This window comes from Homo sapiens, chromosome 3, assembly GCF_000001405.40.
Source record: "Homo sapiens chromosome 3, GRCh38.p14 Primary Assembly".
In the NCBI taxonomy this organism is placed as follows: Eukaryota; Metazoa; Chordata; class Mammalia; order Primates; family Hominidae; genus Homo; species Homo sapiens.
In genome coordinates, this window is record NC_000003.12 from 51,482,363 (window position 1) to 51,500,451 (window position 18,089).

The 18,089-nt window shown below is 46.3% G+C and overlaps 1 protein-coding gene across 42 annotated transcripts in view, besides 2 other annotated features; it reads right to left on the bottom strand.

Moving 5' to 3' along the window:
* The window catches only part of DCAF1 (DDB1 and CUL4 associated factor 1), a 109,773-nt gene that overhangs the window by 86,496 nt on the left and 5,188 nt on the right, over positions 1-18,089 (bottom strand). For 11 of the 42 annotated variants that reach the window (XR_007095776.1, NR_146065.2, XR_007095774.1 and 8 more), the window contains exons 1-2: positions 17,511-17,653; positions 1,357-1,474 (exon numbers count right to left, since the gene is read on the bottom strand). Coding sequence is in view for 30 of the 42 variants with exons in the window: in NM_001171904.2 (NP_001165375.1) it covers positions 1,357-1,466 (110 nt within the window). In the remaining 12 variants the exon portion in view is untranslated. Of the gene's footprint in view, positions 1-1,356; positions 1,475-1,850; positions 1,859-10,026; positions 10,152-14,371; positions 14,419-16,527; positions 16,970-17,510; positions 17,654-18,089 lie in introns of those variants that run through there. The other 31 variants (XR_007095778.1, XR_007095772.1, XM_047449282.1 and 28 more) reach the window with 13 other exon arrangements.
* Positions 17,103-17,202: an enhancer, noted in NCBI's record as "active region_19919". NCBI's record gives its function as "activates an Ori minimal core promoter by ATAC-STARR-seq in GM12878 lymphoblastoid cells {active_cell/tissue: GM12878}" and the evidence as "EXISTENCE:reporter gene assay evidence [ECO:0000049][PMID:35858748]".
* Positions 17,313-17,542: a silencer, noted in NCBI's record as "silent region_14413". NCBI's record gives its function as "represses an Ori minimal core promoter by ATAC-STARR-seq in GM12878 lymphoblastoid cells {active_cell/tissue: GM12878}" and the evidence as "EXISTENCE:reporter gene assay evidence [ECO:0000049][PMID:35858748]".

An 18,089-nucleotide genomic window follows, 5' to 3' on the forward strand; every position in this document is an offset into this window, starting at 1 on the left:
TGAGTCCAGGAGATCAAGGCTGCAGTGAGCTGAGATCATGCCACTACAGCCTGGTGACAGAGTGAGACCCTGTCTCCAAAAAAACAGAGCCAGAAGAGCCAGGTAAAGATATATTCACCAGGACGGGCGCAGTGGCTCACACCTGTAATCCCAGCACTTTGGGAGGCCAAGGCAGGTGAATCACCTGAGCTCAGGAGTTCAAGACCAGGCTGGCCAACATGGTGAAACCCCGTCTCTACTAAAAATACAAAAATTAGCCGGGTGTGGTGGCGTGCACCTGTAATCCCAGCTACTCGGGAGGCTGAGGCAGAAGAATAACTTGAACCCGGGAGGCGGAGGTTGCAGTGAGCCGAGATCGTGCCATTGCACTCCAGCCCAGGAGACAGTGCAACACTCCATCTCAAAAAAAAAAAAAAAAAAAAAGATACATTCACCAAACAGTTGGGAAATGAGTCTAATTTTTTTTATTTTTATTTTTTTAATTTAAAAATATGCTGGGCATGGTGGCTCACACCTGTAATCCCAGCACTTTGGGAGGCCAAGGCAGGTGGATCACCTGAGCTCAGGAGCTCAAGACCAGCCTGACCAACATGGTGAAACCCCGTCTCTACTAAAAAGATACAAAAATTAGCTGGGCGTGGTGACAAACGCCTGTAATCCCAGCTACTCAGGAGGCTGAAGCAGGAGAATTGCTTGAACCCAGGAGGCGGAGGTTACAGTAAGCTGAGATCACGCCATTGCACTCTAGCCTGGGCAACAAGAGCAAAACTCCGTATGAAAAAAAAAAAAAAAGCCAGGCTCAGTGGCTCACGCCTGTAATCCTAGCACTTTGGGAGGAGGCCAAGGCGGGTGTATCACCTAAGGTAAGGAGTTCGAGACCAGCCTGATCAACATGGTGAAACCCCGTCTCTACTAAAAAATATAAAAAGTAGCCGGGCATGGTGGTGGGAGCCTGTAATCCCAGCTACTTGGGAGGCTGAGGCAGGAGAACCCCTTGAACCCAGGAGACGGAGGTTGCAGTGAGCCGAGATCACACCATTGTACTCCAGCCTGGGCAACAAAGCAAAACTCTGACTCAAAAAAAAAAAATTAAATTAAATTAAATAAGAAAATTAAACAGCTTCAGGAAGTAGGGAGATAAAGACTAAATCTGAGGAAAGAAAAAAATTGATTTAGAATTTACAGTCTAGGTGAAAATGTTCCTATGCTATTCTCCACACCAATTTTTGCTTCTTTTTAAACTAGTTTGTGTGTGTGTGTGTGTGTGTGTGTGTGTGTGTGTGTATGAAGAAATCTAGCGTATGAGTTGTGTCCGAGGTTTTTTATTAAACTAGGTTTTAAAAAAGTTATTCATACCTGGTAAGGATAGGTACCATGTCCTGCCCACTGCCATGTTCCTTTTCCCACTGCTCCAGCAGGGTAGTGAGCTCAGCTTTGGAGTCCACATGTACCACTACTGTAGTCATGGCTTTGCCTAAGGAAGCAAAAATAAAAATAAAAAAGACAACCAATAAATGAACACAAGCAAATAAAAGTGAAGAAGGGGTAGAAAAGGACGAGAAGGCAAGAGAAAAAATTAAAAAGGGAAATTTAACCCCTTGAACCCTTTGGATTTATTTGTGGTACAGCAGAAAACTCGGGATACTCATCAAGCCTAGATACCCATTCAGTAGTGATGAACAAGTACTTTCGCCTTTCTCAGCCTCAGCTTCAACTGTCAAATGAGGCAAGAAGCTGGATCAAAACAGTGATTCTTAACCTTTTGAGGAGTCCCTTTGAAAATGAGACAAAAAATATGGTACCTTTCCCTCATCAAAAATGCATTTACCACCAGGCATGGTGGCTCACACCTGTAATCCCAGCACTTTGGGAGGCTGGGGCAGGTGGATCACCTGAGGTCAGGAGTTCGGGACCAGCCTGGCCAACATGATGAAACCCTGTCTCTACTAAAAATACAAAAATTATCTGGACATGGTGGCAGGTGACTGTAATCCCAGCTACTTGGGAGGCTGAGGCAGGAGAATCACTTGAACCTGGGAGGTAGAGGTTGCAGTGAGCCGAGATCACACCATTGCACTCCAGCTTGGGCGACAGAGCAAGACTCCGTCTCAAAAAGAAAAAAAAATAGATTTACCTAATGCCTACCTGTAATATATACAATAATCCCAGGCCTAGATCTCTGAGGTCTAAAACTTTGTGCTTACATTTTTTTAAGCACAAAATGTGGCCAAAACTACTCCCAAAATATTTTGCTCGTTAGTCCTTTGAGGGAAGTTCTATCAAAGATAAACAGCATGGCACACTCCTGTTTAATTTTTTCTTTTTTTTTTTTTTTTTTGAGATGGAGTCTCACTCTGTCACCCAGGCTGGAGTGCAATGGCACAATCTCGGCTCACTGAAACCTCCACCTCTCGGGTTCAAGCAATTCTCCTGCCTCAGCCTCCCGAGTAGCTGGAATTACAGGCGCCCGCCACCATGCCTGGCTAATTTTTGTACATTTAGTAGAGACGCAGTTTCACCACGCTGGCCAGGCTAGTCTCAAACTCCGTTTTTTGTTTTGTTTTTTTTTTGAGACAGAGTTTCACTCTTACTGCCCAGGCTGGAGTGCAATGGCACAATCTCGGCTCACTGCAACCTCTGCCTCCCGGGTTCAAGCAATTCTCCTGCCTCAGCCTCCCAAGTAGCTAGGATTACAGGCATGCACCACCACGCCCAGCTAATTTTTGTATTTTAGTAGAAACAGGGTTTCACCATGTTGGTCAGGCTGATCTCGAACTCCTGACCTCAGGTGATCCACCCGCCTCAGCCTCCCAAAGTGCTGGGATTACAGGCGTGACCCACCGCGCCCAGCTCTGTTAATTCTTAAAGAGAAGGCCAAGAAATGAAATGGACACTACTGCCAGCATGAAAGTGGAGAAGGAACACTATAAAACTCATTTATCCTTCAAGCTTCCTAACCTCTCTCACAGCTGATTTCCTGGAAAGAAGAGGCTAGAAGAGAGGCAGAGAAGGTTGGCTGGGTTGAGTGGTTCAAACTAGGAATGCAGAAGGGCAGGGAGCTGAGGTGAGCTTTGGAGGACCAAATAAGACACCCACATATGAGAGGCTTATAAGGGGATCCAAAAGGGATAAATGAGACGCAAATGTTTGACAGGTTATGGCATCAACTTCTTTATAAAAGTAGCCTTAAAATCAAAATGTCATATTCTGCCACGCAAAATGCGTATCTTCTCAGAAACAGCAACCATTCCATAAAGAGTTTCACATCAGACAGGAATTACTAGCTGATCTAAAATGAACTCTTCTAAAGATATCTACCATAAAACCAAAAGAAATACATGTAAAAGATGATATCATTATTGCATTGCATTATTGCATTGTATTATAAAATGCAAATATTTATGTTTTAATCAAGTAGATGCAATTCCAATAGTAGTGATTCATGTCACCTGGATTACACATAACTCCAAAGGAAAATACCTGCCCTACCCCAAAAATTGAACAAAATCAAAAAGATTATTTATTTTTTTTTTTTTTTTTTTTTTTTTGAGGCAGAGTTTTGCTTTGTCGCCAGGCTGGAGCGCAGTGGCGCCATCTCGGCTCACTGTAACGTCTACCTGCTGGGTTCAAGCGATTTTCCTGCCTCAGCCTCCCAAGTAGCTGGGACTACATGCTTGTACCACCACGCCAGCAAATTTTTTGTATTTTTAGGAGAGACGGGCTTTCACCGTGTTAGCCAGGATGGTCTCAATCTCCTGACCTCATGATCTGCCTGCCTTGGCCTCCCAAAGTGCTGGGATTACAGCTGTGAAAACCACACCCGGCAGATTCTTTTTTTTTTTTTTTTTTTTTAAGGATCTCACTCTGCCTCCCAGGCTTGAGTGCAGTAGCGCGGTCCCAGCTCACTGCAGCCTCAACCACCTGGGCTCAAGTGATCCTCCCACCTCAGCCTCCAGAGTAGCTGAGATTACAGTATGTGTTGCCATGCCCAGCTTATTTTTATTTTTATTATTTGTTCAGGTGGGGTCTCACTGTTGCCCAGGCTGGCCTCAAACTCCTGACCTCAGGTGATCCTCCTGCCTTAGCCCCCCAAAGTGCTGAGACAACAGGTGTGAGCCACCACACCCCGCCATATTTTCAGACTTTCTAACCAAAGCCACAAAAAGGAAATGCTGTAGGTGTGACAGACTAATATGGACTTCTGACTTCAACCTGAGAAAACTCAGGTTGCATATTTTACTGCTATCTACTAACTATACATACGTTGTTATTTTTATTTTTATTTTTTTGAGATGGCATCTTGCTCTGTCACCCAGGCTGGAGTGCAGTGGCACGATCTCGGCTCACTGCGACCTCCATCTCCCAGGTTCAAGTGATTCTTCTGCCTCAGTCTCCCGAGTAGCTGGGACTACAGATACACGCCAGCATGCCCGGCTAATTTTTGTATTTTTAGTAGAGATAGAGTTTCACCATATTGGCCAGGCTGGTCTCGAACTCCTGACCTCATGATCCGCCTGCCTCGGCCTCCCAAAGTGCTGGGATTACAGGCATGAGCCACTGTGCTTGGCCTCGATAAATATATTTTTAAAACAAACTTTTTTTCTTTTCTTTTCTTTTTTTTTTTAAGACAGAGTCACACTCTGTCGCCAGGCTGGAGTGCAGTGGCACAATCTCAGCTCACTATAACCTCCACATCCCGGATTCAAGCGAGCGATTCTCCCACCTCAGACTCCCAAGTAGCTGGGATTACAGGCGCACACCACCACACCCAGCTAATTTTTGTATTTTTAGTAGAGACAGGGTTTCACCATGTTGGCCAGTCTGGTCTCGATCTCTTGACCGCGTGATCCGCCCACCTCAGCTTCCTAAAGTGCTGGGATTACAGGCGTGAGCCACTGTGCCCAGCCAAAACAAACTTTTTATGTGGAGTAATTTTAGATTTACAGAAAAGCTGCAAAGATAGTACACAGTGTTCCCACATACCTCTCACCCAGTTCAGTTTTCCCTCATGTTACCATATTATAGTGGTACACTGTCAAAATTAAGAAACCAACATTGTTACATTATTATTAACTAAACTCCAGACCTGATTCAGATTTCACCATTTTTCAAATCATGTGCTTTGTTCCATGATCTCATCTAGGATACACTGCATTCAGCTGTCATGTCTATCTACTGTCCTCTGGTCTATGATAGATAGTTTGGGGATTTGTTTTTGTTTTACATGACCTTGACAATCTTGAAGAGTACTAGCCAGGCTGGTAGAATGTGGCAACAATTTAACCAATTCTTTCTTCCTTTTTCTTCTCTCCTCTTTCTCTCTCTCTCTCCTCTTTCCTCTCCCTTTTTTTCTTTTTTAAAGACAGGGTCCCCCTCCTATGTTGCCTAGGCTGGTCGTGAACTCCTGGGCTCAAGCAATCTTCCTGCCTCAGCCTCCCAAAGTGCTAGGATTACAGGGACAAACCACCACGCCCAGCCTACCAAACTATTTATTTATTTATTTATTTATTTATTTATTTGGAGACGGAGTCTTGCTCTGTCGCCCAGACTGGAGTGCAGAGGCGTGATCTTGACTCACTGCAACCTCCACCTCCTGGGTTCAAGCGATTCTCCTGCCTCAGCTTCCCGAATAGCTGGGGCTACAGGCACGCGCCATCATGCCCGGCTAATTTTTGTACTTTTAGTAGAGACGGGGTTTCACCATGTTGGCCAGGCTGGTCTTGAACTCCTGACCTCACACAACCCGCCTGCCTCGGCATCCCAAAATGCTGGTATTACAGGCATGAACCACTGCACCAGGCCTACCAAACATTTAAAGAAGAATTAACACCAATCCTTCTCAAACTTCTCCAAAACCTGAAGAGGAAAGATACTTCCTAATTCATTCCATGAAACCATCATTACTGATACCAAAGCCAAATAAAGATATCACAAGAAAAGAAAGCTACAGCCTGATGTCCTTTATGACTGCAGACATAAAAATCCTCAACAAAATACTAGCAAACAGAATCCAACAGCATATTAAGAAAATTAAGGCCAGGCACATGGCTCACGCCTGTAATCCCAGCACTTTGGGAGGCCAAGGCGGGTGGATCATGAGGTCAGGAGTTCGAGACCAGCCTGGCCAACATGGTGAAACCCTGTCTCTACTAAAAATACAAAAATTAGGCCTGGCACGGTGGCTCACGCCAGCAGTTTGGGAGGCCAAGGCAGGCAGATCACCTGAGGTCAGGGGTTCCAGACTACCCTGGCCAACATGGCGAAACCCCGTCTCTACTAAAAACACAAAAATTAGCCGGGCATGGTGGCACGCACCTGTAATTCCAGCTACTTGGGAGGGTGAGGCAGGAGAATCGCTTGAACACAGGAGGCAGAGGTTGCAGTGAGCCAAGATCGCGCCACTGCACTCCAGCCTAGGTGACAGAGCAAAACTCCGTCTACAAAAAAAAAAAATTATCCGGGCGTGGTGGTGTGCGCCTGTAATCCCAGCTACTCAGGAGGCTGAGGTAGGAGAATTGCTTGAACCTGGGAGGCGGAGGTTGCAGTAAGCCAAGATAGCACCACTGCATTCCAGTCTGCGCGACAGGGCGAGACTCCGTCTCGGGTGGGGCAGGGGGAGTAACACTCAATAAACTAGGAACGGAAGAGACCTTCTAGAACATGATAAAGGGGATTATGAACAACACTACACTCCATGGTGAAAGACTGAAAGCTTTGCCCCAAAAATCGGAAACCAGACAACAATGTCTGCCTTTGCCATTTCTATTAAAACACTGTACTGGAGTCCTCCGCCTGGCGTGGTGGCTCACACCTGTAATCCCGGCGCTTTGGGAGGCCAAGGCAGATAGATCACTTGAGAACAGGAGTTTGAGACCAGCCTGGCCAACATGGTGAAATCTCGTCTCCAGTAAAAATAAAAAATTAGCAGGGCATGATGGGGCACACCTGTAATCCCAGGTATTCAGTAGGCTGAGGCATGAGAATTGCTTGAATCGAAGAGGCAGACGTTGCAATGAGCCACAAGATTGTGCCACTGCAGTCCAGCCTGGGCAACAGAGTGAGACTCTGTCTCAAAAAACAAAACAAAAAAACCACACTCTACTAGGGTCCTAGGCAGAGTAATTAGGCAAGAAAAAGAAATATAGGCTGGGCAAGGTGGCTCATGCCTGTAATTTCAGAACTTTGGGAGGCCAAAGCGGGTGGATCAAGAGGTCAGGAGTTCGAGATCAGCCTGGCCAACATGGTGAAACCGCATCTCTACTAAAAATACAAAATTTAGCTGGGCATGGTGGTGTACACCTGTAATCCCAGCTTCGGGGGAGGCTGAGGCAGGAGAACAGCTTGAATCCAGGAGGCAGAGGTTGCAGTGAGCCAAGATTGCACCAGTGCAATCCAGCCTGGGTGACAGGTAAGACTCTGTCTCAAAAAAAAAAAAAAAGTGTGTATGCATGTGTGTGTGTGTGTGTGTGTATATAGATAGATAGATAGATAGATAGATGGTATCCAAGTTGAAAAGGAAGAAGTAAAATTATCTTTATTCCTAGATGACATAATCCTGTATACAGAAAATCCTAAAGAATCCACATAAAAATTATTAGAATAAATGAATTCAGCAAAGTTGCAAGGTACAAGAGCAACACACAAAAATCAGTTGTACTGCTATACACTAGCCAAAAAACAATATGAAAGTAAATGAAGAGAACAATTTCATTTACAATAGCACCAAAAATAATAAAATAATTAGAAACAAATTTAATTTAAAAGGCACAAGGCCGGGAAGGGTGGCTCACACCTGTTAATCCCAGAACTTTAGGAGGCCAAGGTGGGTGGATTGCTTGAGCTCAGGAATTCAAGTCCAGCTGGGGCAACATGGCAAAACCTAGTCTTTACAAAAAAGGCAAAAAATTAGCCAGGCATGGTGTGCACCTGTACCAGGTATGCACCTGTACTCCCAGCTACTCGGTAGGCTGAGGTGGGAGAATCACCTGAGCCCAGTAAGTTGAGGCTGCAGTGAACCAAGATCGCACCACTGCACTCTAGCATTGAAGACATAGCGGGACCCTGTCTCAACAACAACAAAAAAGGCACAAACACAAGACTTGTATGCTGAAAACTACAAAACATTGCTGGAGTCAATTCATGATGACCTAAATTTTAAATAACCTAAATAAACAAAAAGACATTCTGTGTTCATGGATTAGAAGGGTTAGTATCAAGATGGTAATACATTCCAACGTGGTCTACAAATAAAATGCAATCGCTATCAAAATCCCAATGACAAACCAGGCATGGTGGCTCACGCCTGTAATCCCAGCACTTTGGGAGGCCAAGATGGGTGGATCACCTGAGTTCAAGAGTTCAACACCAGCCTGGCCAACATGGTGAAACCCCATCTCTACTAAAAATACAAAACATTAGCTGACCATGGTGGCAGACGCCTGTAATCCCGGCTATCTGGGAGAATGAGGCAAGAGAACCACTTGAACCCAAGAGGCAGAGGTTGCAGTAAGCCGAGATCGTGCCACTGCACTCCAGCCTGGGAGCAACAGAGAGAGACTCTGTCTCAAAAAACAACAACAACAAAAACAACCCAATGACATCTTTTGCAGAAATGGACATGCTGATTCTAAAATTCGTATGTAATTGCAAGGAAACCTGAATAGGCACAACAATCTTGGAAAAAAAAAAAAAAAAAACAAAGTCGGGGTCAGGCGCAGTGGCTCACACCTGTAATCCCAGCACTTTGGGAGGTCGAGGCAGGTGGATCACAAGGTCAAGAGATCGAGACCATTCTGGCCAATATGGTGAAACCCCATCCCCAGTAAAAATACAAAAATTAGCTGGGCGTGTTGGCACGCACCTGTAATCCCAGCTACTGGGACAGCTGAGGCAGGAGAACCGCTTGAACCTAGGAGACGGAGGCTGCAGTGAGCCAAGATTGCGCCACTGCACTCCAGCAAGGCAACAGAGCGAGACTATGTCTCCAAAAAAAAAAAAAAAAGTTGGAAAAATCACACTTCTGATTTCAAAACTTGCTACAAAACTATAGTAAATGGAACAGCATGGCACTGACATAAGGATCAACACAGAGACAAATACAATAGAATTGATAATCCAGCAATAAGCACTCACATCTATGATCAATTTTCAACAAGGGTACCAAGACCATTCAATAGGAAAAAAGTAATTTCAATAAGTAGTGCTGCCCAGGTGCAGTGGCTCATGCCTGTAATCCCTGCACTTTGGGAGGCCAAGACAGGCAGATAACTTGAGCAGGAGTTCGAGACCAGACTGGCCAACATTGTGAAACCCCATCTCTACTAAAATACAAAAATTAGCCAGGCATGGTGGCGCGCCTGTAACCCCAGCTACTCAGGGGGGCTGAGGCAGGAGAACTGCTTGAATCCAGGAGGCGGAGGTTGCAGTGAGCTGAGACAGCGCCACTGCCCTCCAGCCTGGGCGACAGAGCAAGACTCCATCTCAAAAAACAAACAAACAAAAAAGTACTGATGAGACTTGGCACAGTGGCTCACGCCTGTTATCCCAGCACTGTGGGAGGCCGAGGTGGGCAGATCACGAGGTCAGGAGATCAAGACCATCCTAGCCAACATGGTGAAACCCCATCTCTACTAAAATACAAGAAATTGGCCAGGTGTGGTGGCACACACTGGTAGTCCCAGCTACTCGGGGGGGCTGAGGGAGGGGAATCGCTTGAACCTGCGGGAGGCGGAAGTTGCAGTGAGCCGAGACTGCACCACTGCACTCTAGCCTGGTGACAGAGCAAGACCCGTCTCAAAAAAAAAAAAAAAGTAGTGAGACAATTGGATATTATCCCACAAAACAGCGAAGTTGGATCTTTGCCTCACAGTATATGCGAAAATGGGCCGAGTGCTGTGGCTCATGCCTATAATCCCAATACTTTAGGCAGATCATCTGAGGTCAGGAGTTTGAGACGAGTATGGCCAACAAGTTGAAACCCCATCTCTACTAAAAATACAAAAAAGAGCTGGGCATGGTGGCAGGTACCTGTAATCCCAGCTACTCGGGAGGTTGAGGCAGGAGAATCACTTGAACTCGGAGGGGACGGAGGTTGCAGTCAGCCGAGATTACCCCAATGCACACCGGCCTGGGCAAAAGGAGTGAGACTTTGTCTTAAAAACAAAAAAAAGGCCAAGAAACGCATGAAAGATACTCAACATCAGTCACTAGGAACTGCAAATCAAAACCATAATGAGATATCATTTCTCACCTACTAACATGACTGTAGTTTAAGAAATGAGAAAATATAAGCATTAGCAAGCATGTGAAGAAACTGGAACACATATTGCTTGTAGAAATGTAAAAGGGTGGCCCCGGGCGCGGTGGCTCATGCTTGCAATCTCAGCACTTTGGGAGGCCGAGGCAGGCGGATCGCGAGGTCAGGAGACAGAGACCATCCTGGCTAACATGGTGAAACCCCATCTCTACTAAAAATACAAAAAATTAGCTGGGCGTGGTGGCAGGCACCAGTAGTCCCACCTACTCGGGAGACTGAGGCAGGAGAATGGCGTGAACCCGGGAGGTGGAGCTTGCAGTGAGCCGAGATCGCGCCACTGCACTCCATCCTGGGTGACAGAGCAAGACTCCCTCTCAAAAAAATAAATAAATAAATAAAAGAAATGTAAAAGGGTATAGTAGTTATAAAAAACAGTTTGGGACTCTCTCAAAAAGTTGCAGGTTTTTTTTTTTAAGTCACATGTAGAATTACTATACGACCCAGCAATTTCACTACTAGATATATACCCAAAAGAACTGAAAACAAGGCTGGGTGTGGTGGCTCACACCTCTAATCCCAGCACTTTGGGAGGCCAAGGCGGGCAGATCTCCTGAGGTCGGGAGTTTAAGACCAGCCTGACCAACATGGAGAAACCCCATCTCTACTAAAAATACAAAATTAACCAGGCATGGTGGCACATGCCTGTAATCCTAGCTACTGGGGAGGCTGAGGCAGGAGAACCGCTTGAACTCAGAAGGCAGAGGTTGAAGTGAGCCAAGATTACGCCATTGCACTCCAGCCTGGGCAATGAGCGCAAAACTCCATCTCAGGGGAAAAAAAAAAGGAATTCAAACAAAGACTTATACACAAATGTTCTTGGTAGCATTATTCACAATAGCCAAAAAGTAGAAACAACCCAAAAGTCCATCATCAGATGAAGAGATAAACAAAATGTGGTATATGCATACAATGGAATATTCAGTCATAGAAATGAATGAAGTAGTAACATGCTACAGATGTGGAAAAACCTTGAAAACAATAAGAAAGCAGACACAAAAGGGCACATATTGTATGATTCTATTTATATAAAACATTGAAGGCTGGGCATGGTGGCTCACACCTGTAACCCCAGCACTTTGGGAGGCCAAGGCGGGTGGATCATGAGGTCAACAGTTCGAGACCAGCCTGGCCAACATGGTGAAACCCCCGTCTCTACTGAAAGTACAAAAATTAGCCGGGCGTGGTGGCATGCGCCTGTAGTCCTAGCTACTCAGGAGGCTGAGGCAGAAGCATCGCTTGAACCTGGGAGGCGGAGGTTGCAGTGAGCCAAGATTGCGCCACTGCACTCCAGCCTGGGCGACAGAGCGAGATTCCGTCTCAAAAAAAAAAAAAAAGTTGAAATAGGTAAATCAATATACAGAAAGCTAACTAGTAGTTGCCAAGGACTTGAGGAAAGGGGAAAATGGGCAGTGACTGCTAAATGGGTATGAGGTTTCCTTTTTTTTTTTTTTTTGAGATGGAGTCTCACTCTGTCGCCCAGAGACTGGAGTGCAGTGGCAGGATCTCGGCTCACTGCAAGCTCCGCCTCCCGGGTTCATGCCATTCTCCTGCTTCAGCCTCCCGAGTAGCTGGGACTACAGGCACCGGCCACCACACCCGGCTACTTTTTTGTATTTGTAGTACAGACGGGGTTTCACCGTGTTACCCAGGATGGTCTCAATCTCCTGACCTCGTGATCCACCCGCCTCAGCCTCCCAAAGTGCTGGGATTACAGGTGTGAGCCACCGCGCCCGGCCGAGGTTTCCTTTTAAGGTGATAAAAATATTCTAGAACTAGAAAGAGATAATGGTTGCACAACACTGTGAATCTACAAACGCCACTGATTTGTACACTTCAAAATGGGTAGTCGTTAATTTTATGCTACGTAAATTTACCACAATTTTTTAATGAGAAAAGAAATGATCCAGAAGAGACTGCTTCTTAGATAACTTAAGCAGTTAGCCTACTAGAGCACATAAAGACATGATTTTTTAAAAAACACTACCTCTAATAAAGATTAATTCAAGGGCATTAAAACACTAAAATTTTATATTTTTAAAATTTTTTAATTTTTATTATTTTGTAGAGACAGGGTCTCACTATGTTACCCAGGCTGGTCTCAAATTGCTGGGCTCAAGCAATCCTCTCCACTTGGCCTTCCAAAGTGCTAGGATTGTAGACATGAGCCACCATGCCTGGCCTAAAACACTAAAATTTTAGAGTTCAACTTAGAAACATATACATATATACTTCTGGTATCATTTTCAGAACTTCCAACTAATCTATGCCTGAAGATAATTATAACTTTGGGAATAACCATTTGCCCAAGGAAAATATAAACCTTAGTGAGACCTTGTCTCTATTATTTAAAAAAATAAAAAATAGGCCAGGCGTGGTGGCTCACGCCTGTAATCCCTGCACTTTGGGAGGCCAATGCGGGTGTATCATCTGAGGTCAGGAGCTCGAGACCAGCCTGGCCAACATGATGAAACCCTGTCTCTACTAAAAATACAAAAAATTAGCCGGACGTGGCAGCAGGCGCCTGCAATCCCAGCCACTCGGGAGGCTGAGGCAGGAGAATCGCTTGAACCCGGGAGGCAGAAGTTGCAGTGAGCCGAGATTGCACCACTGCACTCCAGCCTGGGCGACAAGAGCAAAACTCCATCTCAAAAAAAATATTAAGAATAATAAAGAATAAAAAAATATAAAGGCAAGGCGTGGTGGCTCACACTTGTAATCCCAGCACTTTGGAAGGCTGAGGTAGGAGGATCACTTGAGCCCAGGGGTTTGAGACCAGCCTGGGTAACAGTAAGACCTTGTCTTTATTATTTAAATACATAAATAAAGGAAAATATAAACTTGTAACAGACTAAATAAAGGAAAATATAAACTTGTAACAGACTTAACTAATAATAGCAATGTGAATTAACATAGTATCAATGAAAGCAGTCAGCAACTGAGTGTGGTGGCTCACACCTGTAATCCCAGCACTTTGGAAAACCTAGGTGGGCAGATCGCTTGAGCCCAGGAGTTTGAGACCAGCCTGGACAACATGGTGAAATCCTGCCTCTATGAAAAAAATTTAAAAATCAGTAGTAGTAGTACTTACTTCAATGTTCGTTTTTTTGTGTTTGTTTTTTGTTTTGTGAGACGGAATCTCGCTCTGCTGCCCAGGCGGGAGTGCAGGGACACAATCTTGGCTCACTGCAACCTGTAGTCCCAGCTACCTGGGGAGGCTGAAGCAAGAGAACTGCTTGAGCCTAGGAGGTGGAGGCTGCAGTGAGCCATAACTGCACCACTGTACTCCAGCCAGAGCAAAAGTGCGAGACCTTGTCTCAAGGAAAAAAAAAAAAGGCCGGGCACAGTGGCTCACACCTGTAATCTCAGCACTTTAGGAGGCCAAGGCAGGCAGATCACCTGAGGTTGGGAGTTCGAGACCAGCCTGACTAATATGGAGAAACCCTGTCTCTACTAAAAATACAAAATTAGGCCGGGCGCAGTGGCTCACGCCTGTAATCCCAGCACCTTGGGAGGCCGAGGCCGGCAGATCACAAGGTCAGGAGTTCGAGACCACCTGGCCAACATGGTGAAACCGCATCTCTACTAAAAATACCAACAAAATTAGCCAGGCATGGTGGCACACGCCTGTAATCCCAGCTGCTCCGGAGGCTGAGGCAGCAGAATCGCTTGAACCCAGGAGACAGAGGTTGCAGTGAGCCGAGATCGCGCCACTGCACTCCAGCTTGCACAACAAGAGCAAAGAAAACAGTCATCTTCACCTTGTTATGCCCAAGACAATAAGGGTGCATTACTCAAGTTCTTAAGTGAGTTCCTTTAAGTGCTATGAAGAAATGATGGTCTGTCCAATGGTGACACGGTAGTTACCAATTAGTGAATATCTAGTATGGGACAGACATTGAGCTAAGTAATTTACCATACTTACATTATTCTGAATTTTCACAACCATCCTACCCTTTTTCACACATGAGGAAACTAGCTCAGAGAGGTCCCCAAGACCAGCTAGTACTAGGTAGAAAAAAGGTTTCAAGGATTCAAATCCCAACTCTGCTGACATACCTGTGAAGTCTTGGTTATTTAACTTCTCCAAATCTCAATTTCCTTATCTGCAAGATGGAAACAGTTGTTGTGCGGGGTTAAATGACAATATTGTCCCCATGATGGGATAATATAAAGCCTCAAGAAATACTTATGTAAAATTTTCTTATCCTAACAAGCATCTGCTAGGGTATTTAGGGATGACAGGCCTGCAACTTATTTTCAAATGATTCCACAAAATATATATATAGATACCACACACACAAATAGAGAAAATATGGCATAATATTAACAACTGTTTGCCAGGCACTATGGCTCATGCCTGTAATCCTAGCACTTTGGGAGACTGAAGTGGGTGGATTACTTGAGGCCAAAAGTTCAAGACCAGCCTGGCCAACGCGGCAAATCCCCATCTCTACAAAAAATAAAAAAATTAGCCAGGCGTGGGGGCACACACCTGTAATCCCAGCTACTCCAGAGGCTGAGGCATGAGAATCGCTTGAACCTGGGAGGCAGAGGTTACAGTGGGCAAAGATCGCACCACTGCACTCCAGGCTAGGTGACACAGGAAGACTGTCTCAAAAAAAATAAAAATAGGCGGGCACGGTGGCTCACGCCTGTAATCCCAGCACTTTGGGAGGCCTAGGCGGTGGATCACGAGGTCAGGAGTTCATGACCAGCCGGACCAACATGGTGAAACCCCGTGTCTACTAAAAATACAAAAATTAGCTGGGCATGGTGGCACGCGCCTGTAGTCCCAGTTACTCGGGAGGCTGAGGCAGGAGAATCGCTTGAACCCGGGAGGTGGAGGTTGCAGTGAGCCGAGATTGCACCACTGCACTCCAGCCTGGGCAACAGAGCAAGACTCCGTCTCAAAAAAAAGAAAAAAAAATTTTTTTTAAATTGACAGGCACAGTGGCTCAAGCCTGTAATCCCAGCAATTTGGGAAGCCAAGTCGGAAGGATTGCTTGAGGTCAGCTGGGCAACATTTTGAGACACAGTCGACACAAATATTTAAAAATTAGCCAATCATGTTAGCCTGTGACTGCGGTCCTAGTTACTCAAGAGGCTGAGGCAGCAGGCTCCTTTGAGCCCAGGAGTTGTTGGAGGCTGCAATGAGTTATGATGACACTCGAGACCATCATGGCTAACACGGTGAAACCCTGTGTCTACTAAAAATACAAAAAATTAGCCGGGCGTGGTGGCAGGCACCAGTAATCCTAGCTACTTGGGAGGCTGAGGCACGAGAATGGCGTGAACCTGGGAGGCGGAGCTTGCAGTGAGCTGAGATCGCGCCACTGCACTCCAGCCTGGGCAACACAGTGAGACTCTGTCTCAAAAAAAAAAAAAAAAAAAAAAAAAAAAAAAAGCCAGCGCAGTGGCTTACATCTGTAATCCCAGCACTTTGGGAGGCCGAGGTGGGCAGATCACGAGGACAAGAGCTTGAGACCAGCCTGGCCAATATGCTGAAACCCCATCTCTACTATAAATACAAAAATTATCCGGGCGTGGTGGCGCGTGCCTGTAGTCCCAGCTACTCCGGAGGCTGAGGCAGGAGAATCACTTGAACCTGGGAGGCGGAGGTTGCAGTGAGACAAGATCGCGCCACTGCACTCTAGCTGGGGCAACAGAATGAGACGCTGTCTCAAAAAAAAAGAAAAAAGAAAAAAAAAAAAAAAAGAGTTATCACACCACTGCACTCCAGCCTAGGCTACAGGGCAAGATCCTGTATCTAAAAAAACAGGCCAGGTGTAGTGGCTCATGTCTGTAATTCCAACACTTCGGGAGGCTGACCAGGGAGGATCACTTGAGTTCAAAACCAGCCTGGGCAACATACTGAGACCACTGTCTCTATAAAAAATAAATGAATAAAAATAAAAAATTTTAAAACTGTATAATAGGCAGAACAGTAAAACACTGTACTCAGCAACTACGCAAGAGATACTAAGTACAAAATGATTTCCCTACATTCCCCAAATTCTCTATTATCTCTTTAACATCCAAAAATATATACCCACTCAAAAATGGGTAATGAATAAATGTTATATAGAAAACCCAAATGGTCACATCATTAAGAAAAATACTAAATAGATCCTAAAATCTAAATATACACATTTACATAAACATTAAAGGTAAACTCCAGTAAGCTGGAAAAAGAAAATGCAGGATGATATTACCAATTAACCTCTCATTCTGTACATTAACGATGCATTTTGAACAGGAAGATGCTACTAATATAAAAAATTAAGACATGTAAACTAATTAAAAGGCTTCATCAAAAAAACAGGGTAAGGAAAAACCAAGACCAACATGACATGGCCAAGGACGAGTCATTTGTGACTCAAAAATAGCTAAATACAAACACTCCAAAACTATTTCCTCAACAAATGGAAAACCAGAGCGCTGCCACCGCAGTAAGAGGAAACCAGACAGAAAACCGTCTAAGAAGTGAAGTTGTTAAGCAAACGCTTCTGACACCCCAGTTGAAAACTACTATAACCCCCGGAAATAGACTCCAGGGAAGCTTCGCGGGCACTCTGAGGTTTGACTCCAGGCTGCGGGACCCGCACACCTCTCTTTCCAACCCTTCCCTCTTTCATGGGGATGGGAGGAGCGCCCGGAAAGCTCCGCCCCCGTCGCACGGTCCAAGAGGCAGGCGGGTGCAGGGAGAGGTGGCACGAGGCCGAGAGACGGGAGAGCCCGCCCAGGTGACTGGAGCTGGAGGCGGAGACACAGTCCGGGAAGGGGCCCGCCGTATAGTACGGAAGATGGAGCCCCGCAAGCCCGTACGGAACAGAGACTAGGAGGATTGGAAGGAAAAAGAAAACAAGGGAAATGAAATGCGCCCCTCCTCCAGGTAGGGGCGGACACACCCCGCCCCCCCACTCCGGGCGGAAGAGTTACTCTCGGGAAGCTTCTCGTGGGGAGTGGAGGAAGAACGTGGAGGCCCCGCCCCCAGGACAAGAATCAGGAGGAGGAAAAGTCCTGTCAGGCCCCGGGCCCAGCCTCCCGGCAGACCGGCCCGCCCCCTCCTCGCCGGCGGCCCAAGCAGGTGCCGCCCCTCCCCCAAGCCCGGCGCCCACTCTGCCGCCCGGCCAGCCGCGCGACCTGCTTCCTCGCGCCCCTCCCGTAGAGTCGCCTCCCTCCATTTCCCACTCACCGTCCGAGGCGGCTCCGCCGCTGCCCCCCCCCGACCCCGCCAGTGGCCACAGTTCACACACACACAGCCTCAGGTCCCGCACTCACTCTCCACTCACACACACACACAGCGCGACCACGGCTCCACAGCGGCCCACATATTATGCGTCACTCGCGCGCTACGTGCACCGCGCGCGCGCGCTCGCGCCTACTTGGCGCGAGGACCGCGAGCAAGGGGCGGGAAGAGAACGCCTGCACGATCGGGGAAAAAAAAAAAAAAAAAAAAAAAAAAAAAAAAAAAATCGAAGAGCCCCGGGGACGCCTGGGAAATGAAGTTCCGCGTCTAGGGGCGGGCCCACCAGTCCCAATTGACGCATGAGCTCTTCGCCTGGCGCATTGACTTCTGGATTTGTAGTTTTTTTGGATAAATGCGAACTGCTGAGTACTCATTGGCTGCTTCGGAAGGCGGAAGTGAAAAGTGAGGGAGCCAATCCTTCTAAGACAGTACTGTAATCGCCTGATACTTTTTCAGTGTCTTGTTCTGACCTGTGTGCGCAAAGAGCCTCTGTTTTATTTGGCCATTTGCCTTATCTTACCTAGA